Genomic DNA, 22,101 nt, shown 5'->3' on the forward strand with positions numbered 1-22,101 from the left:
CACTCTGTCGCCTAGGTTAGAGTGCAATGGCATGATCTCGGCTCACTGCAACCTCTGCCTCCTGGGTTTAAGTGATTCTCCTGCCTCAGCCTCCTGAGTAGCTTGGATTACAGGTAGCTGCCATCATGCCCAGCTAATTTTTGTATTTTTGTAGAGACAGGGTTTCACCATGTTGGCCAGGCTGATCTTAAACTCCTGACCTCAAGTGATCCACCTGCCTCGGCCTCCCAGAGTGCTGGGATTATAGGCATGAGCCACCTTGCCTGGCCCTGTTTCTATATTGTCTTCCAGAACTTTTGCTGTTTTGCCTCTTATGTTCAGGTGTTGGATCCACTGGAAATGATTGTGTTGATGGTGTGAGATAGGGATCTTGTTCAGGGTTTTTCCACATGGACACCCTCCTGGCCTAGCACCATGTGTAGAAAGCCTATCCTCTTTACTCCTACCACCCTTATCTGACACGTGGGGTCTGTGTCTGGCTTCTCTCTCCTCCATTGGGCCATTCAGTGTAGGACCGCCCTGTCTTTATTACTCCGGCAGTTGATTTATCTTCTCTTTATCCTACTAGGGCGTCTGAGGCTTCATAGGGGCAGGGACCCAGATCTCTCTTTCTCATAGACCTAACTCCAGTGCCCAGTACAGAGTCTGGTTCCTCATAATAAGTATTTGTTGGATGAATGAATGAGTGGATGAGTGACCAAATGGATGGATGGCAAGCTGTGGGGACTCAGTTAAAATCCAGGCCAGGTTTATTCTCCTGCGATTGAACCTTTCTGGGGTTCCTCCCAGGCCTGTCACCAGCTCCCTCCCCTCTGTTTCCTTCTTCCTCTTCCGTGCTGCTCTCTCTAAAGCAAGGCCTAACTGTGCCCCCTGCTGGCTTGCCATGTCGCCCCCTTGATACCATCCCCTTCACCCTCAAGCTGAAGGCCAGATGCCCCCTCCTGTGTCCCCTGGATCTTGGGCCCTGCCCTCCCCAGCAAGGGTTCCATCACAGCATCATCACTAATGGGGGCAGGGCCATAACCACCGCTGTGCCCTGCACTTACCAAGCCTTTCAGTCTGTTCAGGCAAGAAGGGATGAAAGTCTCATTAGGGTGGCGTGTTTGTGCTGCCCCCTCCCAGGGCGCCGTGACGTTCCAGGGCTCAGGGAGGCCGTTTGTGGACCCTCAGGTGCAGCCGGTGTTGGGCCTTCGCTGAGAGCAGCTTAGCGGAAGGGGGCGGGAACCAACTGCAGGAGAAGAGGAAGAACTCAGCTGGTACAAAATCCCAAGTGTTAAAAAAAATCCCGTATACATACCGTATTCATTTATGGGTTTTGGATGCATTTTTTGTTCTCATTTAACTGAAAACGGCCTTGATTTAAAAAAAAGAGTGAGGGAGAGAGTGAAATTGGCACGCAGCGAGTCCATCTGGTCTAATTACTTCTGGTATTTTGAAAGAAGGGATCCAAACCTGCTGAGACATTAAACTTTGAGAAGTGGCTGCCGGGCCCGTTGCTGGGCGTCTGCGCTCGGATCCTGATTCTCGGCTCAGGGGTTTCACTGTCTCCCGGCAGGGCTGGACCTCAAGGCCAGGCAGTGGTGCCAGGATGCCCTTCACCTCTCTGTGGGAGCCAGTGGCCTCAGGGGTCAGCCCTCTTCAAACAGCCAGGGCTGCTCCAGACCATTCTGGAATACACATCCTGGTACGTGGCTCCCAGCTGTTTAACCTTGGGTCAGAATCTTGGCTTTCTGTGAAATGCCAAGAGGGATAGTCCCCTTGCAGAACTGCCCTTGGGATTGAAGGAGGTCCTGTGTGCACACTGCTTGGCACATGGTGGGCATTCATACACCTGCTGCTCGACGTTTATGACCGCCCAGGCTAGGGCACGGAAGCAATATGGGTGGTTTCTCTACCGCCCACAGCCATGGGACAGAGCTGCAGCCAGGTGGCTCTGGGATGAGGCTGGGGTGGGTCGTGGCACTGGCCTTTGACGTCCGTTCCTTCCCTTCCCTTTTTGCGCTTAGCAGGCCTGCCAGTTGGATGGGGCCAGAACGGAGCAGCCTGGAACTTGAAATCTGTACCCTGAAAGAGCTCAGGGCCAGGGGTTGATGTGATTGCAGTGACAGTCCCTGTCTTATGCTGGCCCAGAGGCCCTGTCCTCTGAAACAGTCAGGGAGGCCTAGACTCTTGTCCACATTTTATGGCTGAGAGGTCTGAGACCCCAGCAGGGAAGTGTCTTGTGTGAGGTCCTGTGGGAACTGAACAAGCTGGGCCTGCATGGCAGGGAGGATGGAGGCCCCACCTGGTGTGCACAGTGAGCTGCCAGAATGCTTCTTTCTAACTTGATAAATATATATTTTAGAGAAAAAACGAGACAGGTTAATCTCCTGGCCCCATAGCTTCCACCTTGCCTCCCACCAGAACGGGGCCGAGTCCTGGGAGTGGAGGGCAGGGTGGCGGGATGCCTGGCCGGCCCCGAGGCAGCCCCCACTCCCCCAGCTGTCACTGCAGATGGGTGACAGTGATGAGGCTGGTTCTCCCGTCTCCACCCTGCCCCATGGCGTGCTCCACCCAGGATTCAAGGCGGCCGGTGATGCCACCCTTCCCAGGAAGCCCCCCAGGTGTCGGTTTGGACTGCCAGCTTCTCTGCAGCATGCCACGCCCTCGGTGCCTCCTCCTGTCTCTGCGTGAGACACAGGCGGGCCCGGCACTCAGTGCCAAGTTTCTGACCTGGAGTCCTTTGCCCTTTCTCTTAAGAACCCTTTTAAATCTTTTATAAAACATTTATGTTTTAGTCTCCAATAATTCCCTCTGAGGTGTTAGGGGTGTTGTCATTTTAGATGGCAGGCTCTTGGCCAGCAAGGTACAATCTGGGGGAGTCCTGGGCAGGCTGGATTGGGGTGTGGCTGGCTTAGGGGGTGTAGCCCAGTTTGAGGGTGCTCCCTGGGAGGCATTGTGTCTGCCTCAGTCTGTGGGCACACCCAGCAGGGGCCACTTTACGTGAGTTTCTTGGCTTGGGGCATCCTGGACCACACAGGTCTGCTGGCCTGAGAACAGCCCTGGGGATCCAGCTCCTGCTGCCCGTGGCCAGTGGGGGCCTTTTCTGTTCTGCTGTTTTCCTGAAGCCCTCTGGGGCCCAGTGTACCAAGGATGGAGGGCGAGTCCAACTCCCCTCTTAAGTGGCCGAGGCCTCCCTTCTTGCGGCCTCACGGCCATTAGGACTATGTCGCCTGGTTGCAGGGGCCAGCAGTCCCCGTTCACCTGGTGCAGTGCTGCTTGCATGTTGCCTTGTATTTCTGGATGATTCCAGCACAAGGCTGGCCTTTCCCAGTTTGTTTGGGCAGGTGAGGCAAAGACTTTCCCCGCTGCTTCATACTCGAGACCCGCATTCGGCCGACTGCCCCGTGTATTGTCCCATGTAGTCTGCCTAGCAACAGGCAAGGCAGGATGATCTCCATTCCCATCTTACAGATGGGTCAGGTAAGGCTTGAGTAGGTCTAGCATCTGGCTCAAGATCTCAGCCCTAGGAAGAGGCAGCCCCGGGTCTGGCTCAGGCGTGTAGACTTGGGCAGCTCCTGGCCTTGGCCGTCCAGTGGGCAGCTTGTTCTGGCAGCTGTTGCCTGGCTTCCCCTGGGCCCAGCCTCTGGCAGTCCCTGCTGAGCTTTGGGCTTCTGGATCCCTGTCCCCTTCTGTGACGGATTCGTCCTGAGCACTGGGTCCTGCATCTGTAGAGAGGATTCTCCCTCTCCCCTCACAGGGCCCTGGATGGTGAAACAGGGTGAGACACGCAAAGCCATGCGGCTGGGGTATTGTGGAGACCTGCATGGTGTTTCCCTTTCATCCCCTGCCTTGAGCCCAGATCAAGTCAGGAATTGCCCCACCTGCTTAGGGGTGGCTGTAGAGCCTGTCATCTAGGGCAGGTGTGAGCCCCGCCTGAGCCTCTCAGGGAAACGGCTGCTTGAGGGGCTTGGGAGCCAGCTGGTACGTGCCATGGATGAGGGGGCCCAAGGCAGCCAGCAGTGTCCACCCAGAGTGATCCCACAGCCACCCACCTCCGTCTCCTTCCCGTACTGGCTTCTTAGAATTCTGAGCCCAACGTGCAGCATCAGTTACATTCTGATGGAGGCAAAGAAATTCTTCAGTCTCTGGTAGCTTGCTGTGCTGCTTCTACAAACGCACAGACACACACTCACACACACACATATTCACATACACACACATTCATGTACATGCACAGACATTCCCATACCATACACACTCACATGCACGTTCACACATGTACACACAATATCATGTACACACAGAAACATTCACATATGACATTCACATATACACACATAATTCACACGCACACATACCTATACACCTACACACACATTCATACTCATATACACTTCCACACACTCATACACACATGCATTCACACACACATCCACACGCTCAAACACATGCATTCACACATCCACAACCACACACATATTCATAGACACATACACATGAACACACACATTCACACACACACATTCATACACATATGAATTCACCCATACATGTATATTCACATATGTACATTCACACATATTCATACACACATTCACACACACTAATACACAGTCACAAGTACACACATACACACTCACACAGTCACACACATACACATGGATGCACACGTCATACACATTCACACACACACATTCACACTCACACACAGAGTCACACACAGACACCGCCACGATTTCTCTTCTGCCCCCTTCCTATCTTCATCTTCCGTTCACCTGTCCAGATAAAATTGATTTCACGTGGCTGTTTTCCTTTCTAGAAGGCCCCTCAACACACGTGTGCACACTACTCCACATGAGATTAATGTTTGAAATGAATCATCTGCCTCCTTCCTGCCGCAAAGTCCCAGCGAAACAAAAGATGGATGATTCTGTGCATGGGAAGGGTGGGAAAATTAATTAGGAATGACAAAGGACCCTGTTCTTCGGTTCCACTTATCTTGCTGCTGACTTGCCGTACGCAGTTGTGTGCCCCGGCCAGGTGTGTGATTGACGGGCTTTGGGGACGCGTTGCCAGCTCCGCACTGCCCTGTCCCCTCTCGGGCAGCCATCGGGCCCCAAGGGCAGTGGAGCTGGACCCCTGCTGTCCATCTCCCCCAGCCTTTGCCTGGGCCCACCGGGCTAGGAGATGCAGAGGGAGGGGTCAGGGCAAACCCCTCTCACCAGGACTGGGCAGAGGACAGAGGAAGTTCGGACAGTGGGACATCCCCAGGAGACAGACACCAGCTGTGGTGTGAAGAGTCAACACACCGGTCTGGTCTCCATGCAGGCATGCCCTCACTTGGGAACCAGGCACGTCTCTGACATCTCTGAGCCTCAGTTTCCCCTGTTGCAGAATGGGAATACAGCCTCACTGGGGTGCTGGCAGTGTCTGGGGAAGGACTCGGGGCCAATGACAGATGTCATCTTCACCAGAGACACTCTTAATATTGGCTGTGGCCATGGCTGGCTCCCTGGAAAGCCCGGCCTCTTTGGGGAGGGGAGGTATTGGGGTGGGAAGAACAAACGGGTGGGGATCAGGACAGAGAGTGCTTGGCCTTGGGGGAAGGAGATTGGACCTGGACCTGGACAGGCTCCTCTGAAAGCTCAGGGGCCACTGCAGCAGCCACATGGCTGGAAAATGTCACACCCCTGCTTGGAGCTGCAGCTCCTGTAGAGTAGAGACAGCAAAGCTATCCTCAGAGGATTGTCAAGAGGAGGAAGTATAGGAATACCTGGCTGCTGGCAGGTCCTGTAAAAGGCCCTTCTTCCTCCACAGGACCTTCATGGTGGTGGCCACCCCAGCAGGCAGCAGAGTTGCCAGCACTCAGCCTGCACCCCGGGAAATGGGGGCCCTGGGGAGGCTGGGAGGGGCCCCCAGGGGAGGTGAGCCTTCCTGGGGGTCCAGATGCAGCAGAGGGGTGTGAGCATCCTGGATCTGGGTTTACCTCTGAGGCTTCATCTGTAAAATGGACACGTAAGTCTCCGGTGCAGGTTCATGGGAGAGGGAGAGAGAATGGGACACTCAGCAGATGGCAGAGGTCTCAGAGAGTTCTCGTGACTGTTTTCATCGCTGATATGGGTCTTGGGGCTTCCTGACTGTCAGGGACTCTGAGGTGAGGCTCCTGGCAGGATGGTGCAGAGTGAAGAGGGCTAGTGTGTAGTTCCTCCCACCTTCCTGTCGGGTAGAGCACCTGCTTGTTCATTTCATTCTTCGTTCATTCATTCATGGCCGTCTTGAGCAACCCCTCCCTGAAGCCGGCCTGGGCAGGAGGGGTTCAGGGATGGACCTCAGTCAGGGTGGAGAGGGGACACCTGTGCTGGGGGAGGCAGGTGATCAAGAGAAACTGCTGGAAGAGGTGGCCTTTGAGCCGGTCCTTAATAAAATACGGGTCGTGGATGATGGGAGAGGCTACGAAGGGCATTTCAGATTTCTGAACTAGCACAAGCAAAACCTGGAGGTACAGAAAGGCCAGACTGTGTTTAGGAAGCTGGAAGTGGATGGTTAAGGTTGACATGGGTGGTGAGCTCCGTGGGGATCCTGAACAGAATGACCTGGAAGGTGGGCAGGGCAGATCCTAAAGCCCCGTGTGCCACGCCGAGGGCTGGGCTTGTCCTGGAAGCAGCAGGGAGCCATGGGAGGCGCTGGAGTGGAGGAATGACATGCAGTAAATGTGTGGGTGGGGTCCTAGGAGCCAGGGGTGCAGGCCTCTTCCCCTCTGTCCAGTCGGGGTTAAGAGGGGAACTGGCAAGGGTCAGGGAGCTCAGAGGAGCAGGCAGGAAGTCATCTTGGGAGAGGGAGAGCCTGTGGCCTGGCACCCCAGGAATTGTCTGTGTGTCAGCTGCCAGCTTGGGCACAGGACGCAGGAGCTCTGAGCCCTGGCCCATGCCCTCGGACACACTGCTTGACTTCTCTGTGCTTCCGTTTCCTTGTCTCTGAAACGGGCGGGCCTCCCAACTGTTTTGCCCTGAGGATGAACTGAGCTACTAGACGTGACAGCGACTGCTTAAGGGGATTTGCTGTGGGCAGGGCGGTGGGGCGGGTGGCGCGAGGCTGATTCCTGGTCACATTTTCATCACTCTGGGATGGACACATAGAGTATAGGCCCTGGAACTTGCATTCCGGGTTTGAGCCCTGGCTGTGTCACGTGGGTACCTCTCTCCATCTCAGTTTCTGCATCTGTAGAGTGGAGGCCATGGTGGCAGCTGCCTCTCTTGGGGGGGTGTGAGGATTGAGTCTGGCTGTTCCTGGAGAGGCCGTGGGCACTGCATCTGTGTGGGTGTCTGCTCTGTGTCCCATTGAGGGCGGCCCCTACGCCGCCCTCAGCCTCATGCCCCGGCCCGGGTGTGCCTGTGTGCTCAGCACTTCCCAGGGCCCCCCAAGGCCCCAGCACTCCAGGAAATGGGGCGCAGCCAGGGATGGCTGTACTCCAGGGTGCTACAGTGACTCCTGGGGACACGACCTACCCAGCAGCTGTGTACCCTACCTGGGGAGGCAGAGAACCCGAGCAGGGTAGGCTCGGCTTCTGCCATTTCCTATAGACGAGTGTCTCCCCGCTTCCCTGTTTGCGGCTGAGGAACCTGGAATTCACGCTTCAGCAGGAGACTGTTTAACGATTGGCCACGAGGAGGTCATTTATATTGGCTAAGCAGGCTTAATTAGACGGGACTCGAAGGTTACCATAAGAGCACAAAAAAGCTGTTAAGGGGTTAACCTCTGAGAGATTACATTGTATTCAGCGCTCTGTTAAAGTTTGAATTAATTTTTCCCATGGGTTTGTTCACATTCTAATTTTCAACTAAATGAGACATCTGTTTCAGAAAAGGAAAATTTGCTCTGGTTGTCATGGCAACTATCATTCTGTAAGAAAATTATTCCAATGGTTACTTTAGAACAGAAAGACAGAAATTCAGGACATAAAGCCGCCTTCCATGGCTTAGCGGGAATTCGCATCCGTCCGCCCTCCTCAGGCGCTGTGGTGTGCCCCGCACAGTGGGGCTGGCACTGGGGATCCTGGACCCTCAGGGTGGTGAGGTTGGGTCCAGGCACTGGGTTGTGTTGGCAACAAGTACAGTGGCTCTTGGGGCACCTCAGCGTCGTATCTCAGGCATTCGTGAGTCTCAGACCATGTTGGCAGTGTGGGCAGTGAGGGGTGGGCTTGATCAGGGCTGACTGGGCCCCTGGAGCCCTTGTCTGCCCTAACCTCTGAAACACCAGGGGCCACGTGGACTTCGGGCCTGCCGGTCACGGTGGTTGATCCCACCTGCCAGGTCTGCCAGGTCTCACTGGACATGGAGAGGGTCATTTCATCCCCACACACAGCATGTGGGGAGGACCTCTTCGCACTTCGCCTCCAGGAGGGGCTGCTTCTTTTGTCTCCTCTGCCCAGGGCAGAGCCTGATGGTGGTTTCCATGAATGTTGTACAGGAGGCCGGGGGCTGTCCAGGCCTCATGTGTGGCTCAGAGGCCTCTAGGAGTGAGATCACCCCAAGGGGTCTACTCAGTCGTGCCCACCCACCTGCTCCTGCCTGCCTTTAAGAAGTCCCCCTTTCCCAGCCTGGGGATGGTGCTCCCCAGCGAGCAGTCTGTCCTGGGAAGTGTCTCTTCTGGATGTCTTGTGCATGACTTGACTCCTCCTGTCCCCTGACATTTTTTTTTTTTTGAGATGGAGTCTCGCTCTGTCGCCCAGGCTGGAGTGCAGTGGCATGATCTCAGCTCACTGCAACCTCTGCCTCCTGGGTTCAAGTGATTTTCCTGCCTCAGCCTCCTGAGTAGCTGGGATTACAAGCATGTGCCACTATGCCCAGCTAATTTTTGTATTTTTAGTAGAGACGGGTTTTCACCACACTGGCCAGGCTGGTGTCGAACTCCTGACCTGAGGTGATCCACCCACCTCGGCCTTCCAAAGTGCTGAGATTATAGGCGTGAGCCGCTGCACCCGGCCCCTGTCCACCAACATTCTAATAAAAGCTGGAACATCACCTCTTCCCATTGATGGAGCTCCCGGGTATTTAGAAGGCATTTTCACAGTGGTGGTGCCGTCTAATCCTCCTAACTGCTCTCCTCCTCCCTCCTTTCCTCCCCTGCGTCAGGCAGTGGGACACAGAGGAGAGCAAGAGGACTGGGGACAGAGGCATCATTAACCCCATCTTTACACAGGAGGAAACCGAGGCTGGAAGAGGTGCAGTGAGCAGCCAGGGGCAGAACTGGGGTGTCCGATGCCCACTTCAGTGCCCTTTCTACCCAGTAGAGGAAAACAAGGCAGGCTCTGGGCCCCCGGACCCAATGTTGTGGTGTCAGCTGCCCCCATGTCCCCAGATCCTGCAGGCAAGTCTGGTCCTTCTATGCATTTGGAGATGTTCTCATGGCTCCCCAAATGGGCAAGGGTGTGATGGGGAGGGAAAAAGGAACAAATTCCAGACCCGCTGCCCTGTTGAGATCTGGTTCTTCACCCAGCTCTGCCTGGGCCTCCCTGTGTGACCCTGGGAAGTGGAACAACCTCTCTGGGCATTGGGGTGGGGGAACAGGGCAGATTCCGGCTCCCCAAGATTTGAGGTCATGTGTTTCCAAGAAGCTGGCGGGAAACTGTCACCCCTAGAGGAAGGCTCCTTGGTGTTGGGTGAGGGGAAGGTGGGACAGGCAGCGGCTCTACCAGGGGCCAGCTCCTGGGGGTCCACAGGGTCTCTGATATGTTTCCGAGTGTTTCCTTCAAATAACTGCCCCCTGCCGTGGCTCTCGGGAACCAACAGACGTGTTCTCTCCATACTGATGAGGCTTCCTCCTGTCTTGTAAATATTTGATCAGATTTTTGAAAAATGGAAGCTGTGTTTGGAAGGCACCACCAGAAATGTGTTGCTTGTTTTTCTGTTGGCTGATGGGGCTGGGGCTCCAGGGAGGACCCTAAGTGGCTTCTAAGCCACTGAGTCCTTCCCAGAAGCACCTTACCCATTCCCCCTACCTGCCTGGTTCAGCCAGTGGGGCTCTGAATGTGTCTGGGACCGCGGCATCAGAAAATTCCAGCTGTGAACTCAGCAGGTTAGAACTGGGGCAGCCTTGGGAGCTGCCAGTGAGACGCTGTCGGCTCTTCTCCACTAGGAACCGCGGAAGGAAAGCATTTTACTCTGTGACTCAGTCCATGTGGATGTGGGTGGCTAATTAAATAGAAATATATTTAACTGAAGTATCCCTTTCCTGGCTCAATGGACTCTCAAATCTTGGGGAGCTGATGTTTTCTATTCTTTTTTTAAAAAAATGCTGTTGCCATTCATCAAAATGCAATTTGAAAGACCCTGCTGTAGGCCAAAGGTTTTTCATTCAGGCTCCGTGGGTGAGTCTCAGGAGGGCTCCATGATAATTATGATGATAGCAATAATGATGGTAGTGGTGATATAGGAGGTGATGGTGATGGTGGTGATATTGATAATGGTGGTGTATGATGGTGATGATGATGGTAATGGTGATGGTGGTGATGAGAGTGATGATGTTGATGTTGATAATGGTAGTGGTGATGATGGTGGAGGTGGTGGTGATGATGGTGGAGGTGATGGAGATGATGGTGGTGATAGTGATAGAGGAGGCGGTGGTGGTGATGGAGGTGGTGGTGGTGGTGATGGAGGTTGTAATGATGGAGGTGGTGGTTATGGAGGTGGTGGTAGTGATGGTAGTGATGGAGGTGGTGGCGGTGGTAGTGATGGAGGTGGTGATGAAGATGATGGTGGTGGTGATGGTGGTGTTGGTGATGGAGGTGGTGGTGATGGTGATGGAGGTGGTGGTTATGGAGGTGGTGGTGATGGTGATGGAGGTGGTGGTTATGGAGGTGGTGGTGGTGATGGAGGTGGTGGTGATAAAGATGATGCTGGTGGTGGTGATGGTGATGGAGGTAGTGGTGATGGAGGTGGTAATGGAGGTGGTGGTAATGATTGAGGTGGTGGTGATGGTGGTGATGATGGAGGTGGTGGTAATGATTGAGGTGCTGGTGATGGAGGTGGTGGTGATGGTGATGGTGATGATGATGGAGGTGGTGGTGTTGGAGGTGGTGGTAATGGAGGTGCTGGTGGTGGTGGTCATGATGGAGGCGGTGGTGATGGAGGTGGTGGTAATGATTGAGGTGCTGGTGATGGAGGTGGTGGTGGTGATGATGTTGGTGATGATGGAGGTGGTGGAGGTGGTGGTGATGGAGGTGGTGCTGGGGGTGATTATAGGGATAATTGAGGTGATGGGGATGATGAACTTGCAATGTGTTGAATACTTACTGTGTACCAGGCCCGTTTTAAGTACTTTACATGGATTAACTGATTTAGTCATTTCAACAGCCGTATTGAGTATTATCCCCACTTCACAAATGGGAAATTGGGGCATAGAAGTTAAGTTCTTTGTTCAAGATCACACAGGTGGTAAGGAGTGGACCATTGTAACCTAGGTCTAACTGCAAGATGAGCTCACAGTTGGGTGTAAAATCATGTGTGTGCATGTCAGGGGTGATACGTATTTCTGCAGAGAGAATCTTGGCTTCCTGCAGGCCTGTGTGGATGTGTCTGAGGGAGACGGTGCCCACTAATGGGATTAGCCACTGTCCTTGATGCTGCCCACCCAGAGGCCATTCCTTAGCCACAGCTGCCTGGTTTCCTCAATTGGTGGGCACTGCCTGTGGGTGGGGGTCCCTGAGAGAGCCCATACTGGGGGTGCAGGCAGCTCTTCTGTGCCCTGCCCCTCACACTTAATTTTTCCTCTCACAGGCCTGGGGGCAGATCCCCAGGCACAACCCAGAAAGCACAGCCAGTCTCATTCCCCAGGCCCCCACCTGTGCAAGGGGCTCTCCTGGAGCCTGCTCATGGCTGGGTGTAGGGGACTTGCTTTCTTCTTCTCCCCCAAGAACCGGGCAGGAGCGACAGCCCTCTTCCTCAAGGCCCAGAGCTTGGCTGGTAGGGGACTGGGGAGGTGGTGGTCTGGTGTGTTCTGCCTGCTTTTAGTACGTTCCCCTGGGGGTTCTGGGGCTTTTCTTTCAAATGAGGGGGATCGGTTTCAGCTTTGGCATTTTGGCTGCAATCCCAAGAACAGGTAAAGTCCTGCTCAACATCCTGTTAACAATTTATTCATTAATTCAGTCCCCTCTCACCCACCATCATTCGTTAAACATAGATTTGCGTGTCTCCTGGGCTGGTGTCTGAAACAATGAAAAGGCCTTTGACCCCAAATAACCAGTGTGGCCACCCATCCTCCTCTGTCACAAGCCCTGTGTCCCAGGAGATGGCTCTGTAGGCTTGAAGGCAGGGTGGGGCAGTGGGGAGAGAACATCAGATCTGGGTTTGAGAATGACTTCTCCACTGACCCACTGTGTGAACCTGGGCACTTTCCATTCCCTCGCCAAACCTCCATCTTCTAGTCCAGGACCTGCCAGCATAGGACTAAGTTGGGGTTTTCAAATGGGGTTCCAAGGAGGTGCATTGGGCACCTGCCAACAGGGTAGTATGTTGGGTTAACAGCCAGGGGTGTCAGTCACCCCACGGAACAGTGCATGGCCCAGGGAGGGATTTAAGTGGCAGCCTTGAGCACTGGTGCTGGTGATGGAGGTGGTGATAGAGGCACTGGCAATGGCAAAGCCCACCCCTCCCCCAGCCTCCACCAACTCTCACAGCATGTGGTGGCGGGAGAGTGGTAGTGAGGCACCCTGTTGGGGGCCGGCACGCCAGGACCCAAGTCCTGTGCCATCTCACTGCTGGGAGCCTCAGTGTCCTCATCTGTAAAAGGGGAATAATGCTAGTCCCTCTTTCACGGGGTTCTTGTAACAGCTGAGCCCATCCCAGTAATGTACATACTTGGGGCCTGGCAGAACAGTAGGTGCACAGGAAATGCTGGTGACTATTTTTATTTTCCCACCCCTGGTCCTCAATTTTCTCATCTACAAACCATGTAGAAGGAGACCTGTCTGACCAACAGTGCTGCAGGGGTGAAGGTCGTCCCAGGGCAGCAGGCGGGGAGGTGATGTGGGGATGGCAATTGCATTACTATGTAGGGCTGTGTAACTGAGGATCAAATCCAGTGGCGAAAACAACGGAAATTCACTCTCTCACGGTTCTGGAGGCTAGAAGCCTAGAGAGGCCTCTGCAAGATTGGTTCCTTTTGGGGGGCTCTGAGGGAAAACTCTTCCGGGCCACTCTTCTAGCTGCTGCTTTATTTTGAGACAGGGTCTTGCTCTGTTGCCCAGGCTGGAGTGCAGTGGCACAATCTCAGTTCACTGCAGCCTTGACCTCCTGGGCTCAAGCAATCCTCTCCCACCCCATCCTCTTGAGTAGCTGGGACTACAGGTGCGCGCCATCATGCCCGACTAATTTTTTAAAAATATTTTTGTAGAGACAGTGTCTTACTGTGTTGCCCAGGCTGGTCTTGCATTCGAGGGCTCAAACAATCCTCCTGTCTCAGCCTCCCAAAGCACTGGGATTACAGGCATGAGCCACCATGCTTGGCCACACTCTTGTGGCTTCTGATGGTTGCTGGTGATGCTAGTTGCTGGTGATCCTTGGCCACACTGTTGTGGTTTCTGATGGTTGCTGGTGATCCTGGTTGTTCTTTAGCTTGTGGAAGTGTCACTTCAGTTTCTACCTCCATTGTCACCTGGTGTCCTTCCCTCTGCCAGTTTCTCTATGTTATCACATGGCCCTCTTTTAAGGACACCAGTCATTGGAGGTAAGACCTACACGAATCCAGTATGACCCCATCTTAGCTTGATTTCATCTACAAAGAACCTCTTTATAAATAAGGTCATATTCACAGGTCCTGGGGGTTGGCAACATGTCTTTTTGGGGGACACAATTTGATTCACAGTGGTGGTGGTGGTGGTGGTGGTGGTGGTGATGGTGGCTGTCTTAGACCATTCGGGCTGCTACAAGAAAATGCCATAGACTGGGTGGATTCTAAACAACAGAAGTGTGTTTCTCACAGTCTGGAATCTAGAATTCCAAGATCAAGGTGCTGGCAGATTCCATGTCTGGTGAGGACCCACTTCCTGGTTCATAGATGGCACCTCCTTGCTGTTTCCTTACATAGTGGAAGGAGCAAGGGATCTCTCATGCCTCTCCTTATAAGGGCACTGATCCTATTTGAGAGGGCTCCACCCTCATGACCTCATCACCTCCCAGAGACCCCACCTCCTAGTACTAGCACCTTGGGGATTAGATTTCAAAATATTAATTTTGGGGGGATGCAAACATTTAGATCATAGCAATGATTGAGGTAGTGGTGGTGATGGAGGTGGTAGGAGGTGGTGGTGGTGGTGATGGAGGTGCTGGTAGTGATGACAGAGGTGTGATGGAGGTGGTGATGATGGAAGTGGTGATGGAAGTGGAGGTGGTGGTGGTGGTGGAGGTGGTGGTGGTGATGGAGGTGGTGATGGAGGTGGTGGTGGTGGTGATGGAGGTGGTGATGGAGGTGATGGTGGTGATGGTGGTGGTGATGGTGGTGGTAGTGATGGAGGTGTTGATGGAGGTGATGGTGGTGATGGTAGTGGTGATGGTGGTGGTAGTGATGGAGGTGGTGATGGAGGTGGTGGTGGTGGAGGAGGAGGTACTAGTAATGGAGGTGGTGGTGGAAGTGCTGGTGATGGTGGAGGTGGTGGTGGAGGTAGTGGTGGTGGAGGTGGTGGTGGTGGTGGAGGTGGTGGTGGTGGAGATGGTGGTGGTGGAGATGGTGGTGGTGGAGGTGATGGTGGAGGTGGTGGTGGTGGAGGTGGTGATGGTGGAGGTAGTAGTGGTGGAGATGGTGGTGGTGGAGGTGATGGTGGAGGTAGTGGTGGTGGAGGTGGTGGTGGTGGAGATGGTGGTGGTGGAGGTGGTGATGGAGGTGGTGGTGGTGGAGGTGGTGGTGGTGGAGGTAGTGGTGGTGGAGATGGTGGTGGTGGTGGTGGAGATGGTGGTGGTGGAGGTGGTGATGGAGGTGGTGGTGGTGGAGGTGGTGGTGGTGGAGGTAGTGGTGGTGGAGATGGTGGTGGTGGTGGTGGAGATGGTGGTGGTGGAGGTAGTGGTGGTGGAGATGGTGGTGGTGGAGGTAGTGGTGGTGGAGGTGATGGTGGAGGTAGTGGTGGTGGAGGTGGTGGTGGTGGAGATGGTGGTGGTGGAGATGGTGGTGGTGGTGGAGATGGTGGTGGTGGAGGTGGTGATGGTGGAGGTGGTGGTGGTGGAGGTGGTGATGGTGGAGGTGGTGGTGGAGGTAGTGGTGGTGGAGGTAGTGGTGGTGGAGATGGTGGTGGTGGAGGTGGTGGTGGTGGAGGTGGTGATGGTGGAGGTGGTGGTGGTGGAGGTGGTGATGGTGGAGGTGGTGGTGGAGGTAGTGGTGGTGGAGGTAGTGGTGGTGGAGATGGTGGTGGTGGAGGTGGTGGTGGAGGTGGTGGTGGAGGTAGTGGTGGTGGAGATGGTGGTGGTGGAGGTGGTGGTGGAGGTAGTGGTGGCGGAGATGGTGGTGATGGAGGTGGTGATGGAGGTGGTGGTGGTGGAGGTGGTGGTGGTGGAGGTAGTGGTGGTGGAGATGGTGGTGGTGGAGGTGGTGATGGAGGTGGTGGTGGTGGAGGTGGTGGTGGTGGAGGTAGTGGTGGTGGAGATGGTGGTGGTGGTGGTGGAGATGGTGGTGGTGGAGGTAGTGGTGGTGGAGATGGTGGTGGAGATGGTGGTGGTGGAGATGGTGGTGGTGGAGATAGTGGTGGTGGAGATGGTGGTGGTGGTGGTGGAGATGGTGGTGGTGGAGGTAGTGGTGGTGGAGATGGTGGTGGAGATGGTGGTGGTGGAGGTGGTGGTGGTGGAGGTAGTGGTGGTGGAGATGGTGGTGGTGGTGGTGGTGGTGGTGGTGGTGGTGGTGGTAGTGGTGGTGGAAGTGGTGGTGGTGGAGGTAGTGGTGGTGGTGATGGTGGTGGTGGAGGTGGTGGTGGAGGTGGTGGTGGCGGAGGTGGTGGTGGTGGAGGTGGTGGTGGTGGAGGTGGTGGTGGTGGTAGTGGTGGTGGAGGTAGTGGTGGTGGAGATGGTGGTGGTGGAGGTGGTGGTGGTGGAGGTGGTGGTGGTGGAGGTGGTGGTGGTGGAGGTAGTGGTGGTGGAGGTGGTGGTGGTGGAGGTAGTGGTGGTGGAGGTAGTGGTGGTGGAGGTGGTGGTGGTGGAGGTAGTGGTGGTGGAAGTGGTGGTGGTGGAGGTAGTGGTGGTGGAGATGGTGGTGGTGGAGGTGGTGGTGGAGGTAGTGGTGGCGGAGATGGTGGTGATGGAGGTGGTGATGGACGTGGTGGTGGTGGAGGAGGTACTAGTAATGGAGGTGGTGGTGGAAGTGCTGTTGATGGTAGAAGTGCTAGTGATGGTGGAGGTGGCGGTGTTGGAGGTGGTGATGCTGGTTACTTTATTGACATAAAGGGCCCATTCTTGTGGAATCATGTATGGGTGAAACCTACGGGATGATTCTGATGCTTTTGTTGCAAATGACTGAAAACCCAGTTCAAATGGCTTTGTGTTGGCCCGTATAATTGGGAAGTGCTGAGGTAGGGTGGGTGTCTGGTCCAGTTTGATCCAGCTGTTTCTTGGGTAACTTAACAGCTGCCGACAGCTGCCCACAGCTCCCAAGGCTAGAAGCTCACTGTTTATACACAGGGATGATAGTATCCACTTTTCTTCTTGAAAAGAGACTGCCTGCAATTGGAAGGATCTAGGTGATGTGTTCACCACTGAACTGACTAGGGGGAATATCTGGCATTGATGGGTCCAGGTCTTGGCTGGGGAGCAGGCTACCAGGCTGGGATTGCGTATAATGGTCTAGGTCCACCTGGCCCCACCCTCCCAGCTGGGGATGGGCTCAACTCTACCTGGACTCCCTGGCCAGAGCTTCCAGTATAAGCAAGAATGAGCAGCCCGCACCTGGAATCTGCTCTCTTTTGACTGGGGGTCCACACACCCCACCTGGGGGAGGGAGGATGGAGGGGCATCTTCCTGGGGGTGGGGGTGGGAGTATTGGAGAATGTATAATGTTCCCTGTGGATTTTCTTAGAAAGGCTTGGAGCAGGAAAGGTCTTAGGAAGAAGCTGATATATATATGTATATGTATATATATATATGTATTTAGCTTTCTTTTTTTTTTGGTTATGTAAATAATACTTACAGAAAAACAGAAACTGCAGGTAAGCAGAAGGAGAGAGGAAAGAGAATTGCCTGGGGACCCACAGACCGCCAGTGGGTCAAAGTCCTGGTGAGTCCCTGCCTTCCCTAGGTGGAGACCTTCCCTGGGTCTCCAGGTAGCGAGCTGGTCCTGAGGGCCCCCTGGCCCGTGGGGAGCTCCGCATTCCCTCTGACCACCCTGTACTTTCACCCGCCCTCCCTCAAACACCTGCACTTCTTCTACAGGCAGCCCTGGTTCTACGGCTGGGGCTTCAACCTCCCGCGAGGCCAAGCCCTGCTGGAGAAATGGAACCTCATTCCCGAAGGCGTAGACATCCTGATAACCCATGGACCACCACTGGGTAAGGCTCTGCTGGCCTGGCCCTCCAGCTCGCCCATCTGGGCTGGTGGGTGGGCTCTGGGATGGGGGGCTGGCTGGGCCTGTATAGGGGAGCCCTGGAGGGGTTCTGAGTCCCACTTGCTGGGGCACTGAGGACACGTCGCCCCATGGTCCCTCTTATTTCCTGAGTGCCCACTGAGAGCAGGGGGCTTGACTTGTTATCTTGTGGGCTCCTCACAACAGCACAGGAGGCCAGAATCACCTGCCCATTTGACAGGTGGGACCCTGGAGCTTCGGCTTATGCCTCTGCAGACCCCAGTCCCGGGTGCTGAAAATCACCAGAGCCCTGCACAGGGCTTCCTCCGGGCAGCCCTAACTCCCTCAGAAACCTGGGGTCCCCACTTCCTCACCCCCACCCAGCCCAACATCCCCAGGGCCTGTAGACCACCTCCCATCTCTCCTCTCTGCCCCCACCCCACCACCCAATCCACACTGAGGTCATCCCCTCATCTGCATACTGCCTCCTCCACCCCTACTGTCCCATCTGGGGGCTCTCTCAGTTCCCTTCCTTTCCTCATTCCCACAGCCTGGCCATCACCACATCCCTCCCATTCCACCTCCAAACTGCCTCCCACTCCCCCTTCTCTTCAAGCTGCTGACCCTGCCTCAGTCCAGGACAATGTCTTCTCTCTCTCTCCCATGGTCATGGTGGAGGTGGTGGTGATGGAGGTAGTGGTGATGGAGGTGGTGATGGTGGAGGTGGTGGTGGTGGAGGTGGTGATGGTGGTGGAGGTGATGAAGGTGGTGGTGATGAAGGTGATGGTGGTGACGGAGGTGATGGTGGGAGGTGGAGATGGTGGTGGTGGTGGTGGGAGGTGGTGATAGTCATAGAGGTAGTGGCAGTGGGGATGGGGTGGTGGTGGTGATGGAGGTGGTGGTGATGGTGATGGGGGTGGTGATGGATGTGATGGTGGTGGTGATAGAAGTGGTGACGTGGGAGGTGGTGGTGGTGGGAGGTAGTGATGGTGATGGAGGTGGTGGTGATGGTGATGGGGGTGGTGATGGATGTGATGGTGGTGGTGATAGAAGTGGTGGTGATGTGGGAGGTGGTGGTGGTGGGAGGTAGTGATGGTGATGGAGGTGGTGGTGGTGGTTATGGGGGTGGTGATGGTGGTAATGGAGGTGATGGTGGTGGTGATGGAGGTGGTGGTGATGGTGGGTGGTGGTGGAGGTGGTGGTGGTGGTAGTGGAGGTGGTGGTGGTAGTGGAGGTGGTGGTGGTGGTGATGGTGGTGGTGATGATGGTGGAGGTGGTGGTGGTGGTGATGGGGGTGGCGGTGATGGGGGTGATGGTGGTGATGGTGGTGGTGGAGGTGATGATGGTGGTGGTGATGGAGGTGGTGATGGGGGTGGTGGTGGTGATGGTGATGGAGGTGGCGGTGGTGATGGTGGAGGTGGTGGTGGTGGTGATGGAGGTGGTGATGGGGGTGGTGGTGGTGATGGTGATGGAGGTGGTGGTGGTGATGGTGGAGGTGGTGGTGGTGGTGATGGAGGTGGTGATGGGGGTGGTGGTGGTGATGGTGATGGAGGTGGTGGTGGTGATGGTGGAGGTGGTGGTGGTGGTGGTGATGGAGGTGGTGATGGGGGTGGTGGTGGTGATGGTGATGGAGGTGGCGGTGGTGATGGTGGAGGTGGTGGTGGTGGTGAGGGAGGTGGTGATGGGGGTGGTGGTGGTGATGGTGATGGAGGTGGTGGTGATGGCGATGGAGGTGGTAGTGGGGGTGATGAAGGTGGTGATGGAGGTGGTAATGGAGGTGGTGGGGGTGGTGGTGGTGATGGTGATGGAGGTGGTGGTGATGGTGATGGAGGTGGTAATGGAGGTGGTGGGGGTGATGGTGGAGGTGGTGATGGAGGTGGCAGTGATGATGGTGGTGATGGTGATGGAGGTGGCGGTGGTGATGGGGGTGGTGGTGGTGATGGTGATGGAGGTGGTGATGGTGGTGGTGGAGGTGGTGGTGGTGATGGTGATGGAGGTGGTGATGGGGGTGGTGGTGGTGATGGTGATGGAGGTGGTAGTGGTGGTGATGGAGGTGGTAATGGAGGTGGTGGTGGAGGTGGTGACGGAGGTGGTGGAGGTGGTGGAGGCGAAGGTCTTGCCCCTTCCAGTCCACTCGCTTTACATCAGCAGGAGGGAGTTTTCTGTATCCTTATGTGTGCCATGCCACCCCTCTGTGACCCTCTGTGGTTCCCTCAGTCCTCTGAATGAAGTTCAGTCTCCCAGCAGTTCGGCCCATATCAGTGTCTTGCTCCCACCGCCACCTCCAGAAACCCACCATCACTCCCTCAGTGCTTGGGACCAGCCCCTGTGCTGGGTGACACTGGTCCAGGATAACTCCTGCAGTGTGTGCCTGGGTTGGAGGGCCCCCAGGCTGCAGGGTAGAGGGTTCAGGAACAGCCAAGCCCCGTGGGACACATTCGGGGGTGAGGGAAGCTTGAGGAGTCAGGAGAGATGACTGCTGTTAGGCTGCATGGGGGACTTGCACAAGCTGTGATCCCAGAATTGGAGGAGGAGGGTGAGGTAGACAAGGGGAGGGGAAGGGTGTCCCAGGCAGAGGCCATGGGGGAGGGTGTGGGGTGAGGCGCAGGACAGCTTGAGTGTCACTGGCTCACACACCAGTTCAGGAAGAAAATCCTGATACCACTTTGTGCCCCTACCCAGCCAGTGCGCCACGGCCCCTCTGCCTCCTCACAAAGTCCAGGAAAGGAAGATTTTGTCAGCCTCACCCTCACAGGTGGAAGCGGAGGCCTGGGCCCTGGTGTGATTTAAGCAGCACAGAGAGGTTGTAGCCGGGTTTGTTTCACCCCCACCTGAAGCCGCCTGAGTCCTGGGACGGTTCCCGTCAACATTCGGTGTCATTGGTCACTGACAGTGAGGCTCAGCAGCAAAGGCATCTTGTTCTCTTCCTTCTCTTTTCATTCCCTCCTTTCCATATCTCCTTTTTTCCTCCTTTTTCCTTCTCCCCTCTTCTATCTTTCCTCCCCTCCTCCCTCTTCCTTCTTTCTCTCCCTCTCTCCTTTCCATCCATCCATCTCTCCAAACATGGTGTCGTTTGGCTTCCTGCTCTCCAGACGCCCCGCCCGGGCCCCTTCACACACCGCCCGGCTCCTGTCTCGGGGCTGCCCATGTGCCAGGCACTCCAGCTGGTGCTGCCCTTGCATCATCTCCGGACTGTGTGCGCCAGGGTGCCGAGGTGCTGGAGACCCTCCCCACAACACACACTCCAGAAGTGAAGAAGGATCCGGCCTCATGCATGGTGGGATCCCAGTGCCCAGCCCAGCACTCTATTGGATGAAACGGAGGCACAGAGAGGTTAAGTGGCTTGTCCAAGGTCACACAGCCAGTAGGCAGCAGAGCCTGGGACTTCAACCCAGTGTCTGCCCCCAGCCTGTGCCCAACCCATTCCTGGTCTCTTTTCTCTGCTTTCCCCTCCTTCTCCCCCTCCTCCTCCTCCCTCATCTTTGTCTCTATCTCTGTCTGTGTCTTCTCTTTATGCCTGTTGCTGCTTGCTTGGGCCTTTGAGTGGAAGCTTCCCCTGTCCCCTTCTTGGCAGTTGCAGAAACCTGTTCTGCTCACCCAAACAGAGAGGGGCCGCCATGAACCCTAATTGTTTGCTTGGAGTAATCAATTATTCTCCGTTTGTGTAGCCATGTGAGGATAATAAGCAGCCACCATCTGGGCGGCTCCAGGAGGCTGGCAGCGGGGGCAGGCGCAGGCGCAGCCACGTGAGCGATGCTGCACCCACGGAGGAAGTTTCTGCTCATGAGTCTGTGCTGTTTAGGAAGTTTCTGACATGGAAATCTCACTCCTGGGCTGTGTATCAGGACGCCCTGCTCTGCAACTAACCACCAGGGTGCCTGCCCTTGGGACTCACCCGTCCCTCTCTGGCCTCCGTTTGCTGATCTCTGCGGTGGGCGGATGCCACCCTTGAGGCCACTCGAGCACAGATGGTCTGGGGGGCGCCAGCAGTTACTGAGCACCCCACCCCAAGTGCCTGGCCCATGCTGAGCTCTTTCAAGGAGGCCCTCAGTGCAGCCCTATGGAGGAGGAGGGTGAGGCTGCAAGGTCCTGAATGGTTTCAGTCCCTGAAGCCTGAGGCAGGGCAGGGTTCCGGAGAGCTTGCTAGGGGAGAGTGGTGCAAAGCCGGAGTCCGGAAGCCCCATGCCTTCTCCAGGCTGCAGAAGCTGCTGCTAGGCGTGGGGCAGTGAGGGGCTGGGACAGACCGCGTCATGGCCTCCTGTTGTCTCCCCCATACCAGGCTTCCTGGACTGGGTCCCCAAGAAGATGCAGCGGGTGGGCTGTGTGGAGCTGCTCAACACGGTGCAGAGGCGCGTCCAGCCGCGGTTACATGTCTTTGGCCACATCCACGAAGGTCAGTACGTAGCGGAGACAGGCACCTCACGGGCTAGGGGCTCCTAATGGACCCTCCAGCAGGACCTCCCCTTCGTTCAGCCAGAAGGGAAATAAATAGCCCATTCCTACTGTTCGCTTTGTAACTGCTAACTGCCATACACACCCTGGCTGTCAATGAGCTATTGCTAAATGTTTAATAATAGGAAGATGATCACA

At 55.5% G+C, this 22,101-nt stretch overlaps 1 protein-coding gene across 2 annotated transcripts in view, besides 2 other annotated features; it reads left to right on the forward strand.

Moving 5' to 3' along the window:
- MPPED1 (metallophosphoesterase domain containing 1) overlaps nt 1–22,101 on the forward strand; it is a 95,835-nt gene that overhangs the window by 68,840 nt on the left and 4,894 nt on the right. For both annotated transcript variants that reach the window (NM_001044370.2, NM_001362786.2), the window contains exons 5-6: nt 17,382–17,497; nt 21,791–21,904. In NM_001044370.2, the coding sequence (NP_001037835.1) occupies nt 17,382–17,497; nt 21,791–21,904 (230 nt within the window). The remainder of the gene's footprint in view (nt 1–17,381; nt 17,498–21,790; nt 21,905–22,101) is intronic.
- Nucleotides 6,330–7,103: an enhancer, noted in NCBI's record as "H3K4me1 hESC enhancer chr22:43883063-43883836 (GRCh37/hg19 assembly coordinates)". NCBI's record gives its function as "activates a minimal SCP1, AML or CMV promoter by ChIP-STARR-seq in primed H9 embryonic stem cells {active_cell/tissue: H9 hESC(primed)}" and the evidence as "EXISTENCE:reporter gene assay evidence [ECO:0000049][PMID:30033119]".
- Nucleotides 7,104–7,877: an enhancer, noted in NCBI's record as "H3K4me1 hESC enhancer chr22:43883837-43884610 (GRCh37/hg19 assembly coordinates)". NCBI's record gives its function as "activates a minimal SCP1, AML or CMV promoter by ChIP-STARR-seq in primed H9 embryonic stem cells {active_cell/tissue: H9 hESC(primed)}" and the evidence as "EXISTENCE:reporter gene assay evidence [ECO:0000049][PMID:30033119]".

The sequence above is a fragment of the Homo sapiens genome, chromosome 22, assembly GCF_000001405.40.
Source record: "Homo sapiens chromosome 22, GRCh38.p14 Primary Assembly".
Classification (NCBI taxonomy): Eukaryota; Metazoa; Chordata; class Mammalia; order Primates; family Hominidae; genus Homo; species Homo sapiens.